Genomic DNA, 4,255 nt, shown 5'->3' on the forward strand with positions numbered 1-4,255 from the left:
AGCAGTAGTATTAGCAGTAGCAATAGTAGGAGCAGGAATGGCAATAGCAGAAGCAGCAGTTCTAGTAGTACTGGTGGTAGCAGGAGCAGGAACAGCAGCACTATTAGTGGTAGCATTAGCAGCAGCAATAGCAATAGTATTACAGTAGTGATAGCGGCAGTATTAGTAGTACTAGTAGCAGTGGTGGTATTAGCAGCAATAGTAGCACTGGTAGGTAACAGTAACAGTAGTAGCAGGAGCAACAAGGCTCACAGTAACAGTAGCAGGAGCAGCCATAGTGGGAGTAATAGGGGTTTGATAAATGTGGCCTATTTGATCACCAATCAGAGCTATGTAATATAATGCTATAATGTTGATGATAATGTTTCACGTTTATGAATCCTCAGCAAGTACCAGGAATTTGTCCCACATGAAGTCATTTCATTCTCATAAAAACCCTGGAGGGAGTTGCTGTTATTGTGACTATTTTACAGAAGAGTAAAGCAAGCTTTCAGAGGTTAAGCCCCTTCCCCAAGGTTACACAGCTAGCATATGGCCTCCTCCAACCAGAGAGAAGGCCTGTGTGGGGTCCTGCTTGGTGCTGCGCATGTCCACACCAGCCTGTCTTCTGAATGGGCATCTGCAGGGAGGGGTGTGGATATCGCAGTATGAAATGTCTTGCTGGACAATTCCCAGGTATTCCCTGGTCAAGGCCTCTTGCCTGATGGAATGGATTATCTGGGGTCAAGGAGCCACATTTGCAGCCTCTGCAAGGTGATTCTGCCTTGGCAGGCCTGTTTCCAAGCACTCTGTGTGATTCTTATGATGTCTGAGGCTGGAGACACCAGGCCAACAAAGGTTCCCGAAGTCGAGCAAGAACTGGAGTCCCCCGTGGGCTTGCTAGAACTCACACTGCAGGGCCCATCCAGGGTTGACAACTCCGTAGGTAAAGGCCCAGCTGAGAATGTGCATTTCTAACAGTTCCCGGGTGATGTTGTGCTGCTGGTCCAGGGACACTGTGAAGCCAGCTTCTTGGAAGAATGCCCTCCTCACATCTCAAGTACTCACAGTCTCTTGGCCTAACATTCGTGTTTCATTCTAAGGACCGGCACACCAAGAGGACAACAGACTTACTGTGAGAATGACATGTGATAGATTGTCATGAGTAATACTTGTTTGTTCTGGGTGTCTATAAACAGGACTGGGGTCCTATGTGATTCACTGTGCACAAGGCTGGCCCCCTCCCCATCACCCATGGGCCTGTACCATCTCTGAGTATGAGAATGTAATTGAGAAACTCTGACCTATAAATAAAAATCACAAGTCTATCTCCTGACCTTGACCTCACCTCCATCCTCCCTCACCCTTTCCACACAGCAGCATCGCCTGGTCTGACTACAGAACAGTAGCCTAGTAGCAGGCGTGGATCCGTGCCCTTGCTCTGGGGAATGCCTTCCTTCCTCGCAGCCCGAACCTCGTCCCTTCTAGCCCGTTAGTCAGCAGCCAGCGGCTTGAGAACATTGCGTACCCAGTCCCAGGAGAGCTCTGACCGCCAGCCGGTGCTTCCTACTGTTTACATGGCTCTGTCCCTCATGGGGCTGTGTGTTCTTGAAAATAGTAACTGGGTCATATTCTCTAAAACTTTAGCACAAAAACAATGGTAGTAGACTTTCTATAAACATGCATTGAATTAATGTTTTTCATGTTTTTAATTTTTAAAAAATAACACACATGTGACTGATGGCTTTAAACATTTAAGACTTCTTTCCTAACCAATCAGCATACATTTTCCGCCAGCAGATAAGGAGCCATGGAAGGCACTTTGTTCTTACTTGTGCTGTGTTTATCAGGGAGCTGAAAGATACACTCCATGTCTGATCTTAGAAACGTCTGTTTTCTGAAATGTGTGTAGAGGCCCTTCCCTTTGCAAGGAAGCATCTCTCTTTTTTTCCTCTTTCAAAGATAACATAACTAGGCAAGCTATTATTAATTATGACAGTTAATGTTGCCCTGTTTTGACTAGTGATTTATATTTTACAGAATGTATTTATGTTAGCTGCTGCATTTTAACTTTATAGCAGTGCAGCCAGATACCTATTAACAGTATGTTTATTTTACAGATTAGAAAACTGAAACTAAGTCAAGTGGCTGCCAAAAGAAAAAGAAACGTGGTTTCCAACTGAGGTCTGTAATTCCAAAGTCAAGATTTTATTTTAATCTAACTCTATTGGAAGCAAATAGCCAGTTGTCTTCTACTTCTAGAAGAATATGCTAGAAGGTATAAACTAGTATAACTTTCTTAAAACAGCTTCTGCAACCAGGGTATTTGGATAAAGCCCTTGGGAACAAGGGGAGCCTCAAGAGGCACTCAAGTCTGTGATTCTGAAATAGGAGGGAGATTGTGGGGTAGTCACCGAAGTCAAAAAGCTGATCCCCTAAAATCAAAATGACACCCGTTCTATCAAACTTCTCAGAAGATAATAACAATTTACTCATGTTTCTATATGTCTTCCCTAGCCCCTGTTTTGTGTTATTTTCTTCACTCCTGTATCTCCATGCCTTAGATGATTAGAGACATAAGAAGTACTCAATAAGTGTTTGTTTAATTAATAAATAAAATTCAAACTATCCTATTGAATAGGTCTTCTAATATAGACCATAATACTTTTTCCTGATATATTCAGTGAGTGGTTTGCCCATTTTAGTGGACACTTTAATGGCATGTAGGTCTCAGTTCATTAACACAATTCTTTCCTTAAATGCCTGTGCAATCAGGAGCTATGGAGAGAATGAATGGAATATATCCGTGTACAGGTGGAAGAGTCTACCAGTCCTGGCTGGCCCCACTTCTCTCAGGTTTTATCTACAGCTGTCATCAGCAGGATCTTCATGGGAACCATGACGAGGTCCAGCTATCCTCGTGCCTGTGAGAACCCTGGTGCCTTTTCAACCCTACAGCTAAAAGTGTTTCAGTAGCAGAATGGGATTCAAGAGGGTGAATCAGAACTGAAGCCCCTCTGTGGATGACCTCTGGAACCACACCTACAACTGACTAACAACCAGGACATGATCCTTTATGGCACAACTCTTATCATTTTTCCAAACTCTGCCTAGTCTTGGAGCATCGCCCATCAACCTGACAGCCAACTTCATTTAAAGACATAACCCTTGGCCAGGTGTGGTGGCTCATGCCTGTAATCCCAGCACTTTGGTAGTCTGAGGCAGGTGGATTACCTGAGTTCAGGAGTTCGAGACCAGCCTGGCCAACATGATGAAACCCTGTCTCTACTAAAAATACAAAAATTAGCAGGGCATGGTGGTGCGTGCCTGTAATCCCAGCTGCTTGGGAGGCTGAAGCAGGAGAATTGCTTGAGCTTGGGAGGTGGAGGTTGCAGTGAGCCAAGATCATGCCACTGCACTCCAGCCTGGCCGACAGAGTAAGACTCTGTCTCCAAAAAAAAAAAAAAGACATAACCTTTACATCTGCTGAACATTGTGGTCTCAGTTCTGAACCACTTGTTGAAACCTACACCTCATTCTGTACTTCAATTTGTACCTACTTCTCCTGACTTCTAATCTGGGGAACATATTTCTATCTAGTCCTGGCTCTGCACAACTTCCCCAAATGCAACTGTAGCTTTTTTTTCCTACAGTGTCTTTCTATGGTTTCAGCCTTCCTGAGAAATCAACCCAGCCCATCTTACTTGGTTTTTCTGACCTCCTAAGAAATGTTCCCACCAGACACTGCCTTATCTTACAAGCGTGGCCTGAGAGATGAGGACCATGGGATGGGTCATTTTGAAAAAGACAGAAAGAAAATGGGGATATATCTCATGAAACTCTAAGATGAAGTTATTCAATGATCTTTGAAGGAAGAAAAAATAGGCAAGGAAGGATAGAGAGATTTTGAACCAGATGCTGACACCAAGAAATATTAAGGAAGAGGGCCTTCAAAGTCAGGGGATGCCTTTCCTCTCCTCCTGCTGTGGTCTGCACTCCTCTCTGTTATGGCATCCATTGATCACTCTGTGCTGTAATTATCTACTTATTGATTGGCATTCCTCATCAGGCCATGAGATTTTTAAAGTCAGAGTCCATGTCTTAACTGTTTTTGTATGTATAATAATTGTAGCAGTGCCTGGCACATAGCAAATTCTCAGAATACTGACCGAATGAAGAAAAAGAAGAGCAATAAAATAAGAGTGTGTGGTTCATCAAATACTGTAGAGCTGACTATCATGAGCATACTTCAATGGGGACCACTTTTCACATTGCT

The sequence above is a fragment of the Homo sapiens genome, chromosome 7, assembly GCF_000001405.40.
Source record: "Homo sapiens chromosome 7, GRCh38.p14 Primary Assembly".
NCBI classification, from domain to species: domain Eukaryota; kingdom Metazoa; phylum Chordata; class Mammalia; order Primates; family Hominidae; genus Homo; species Homo sapiens.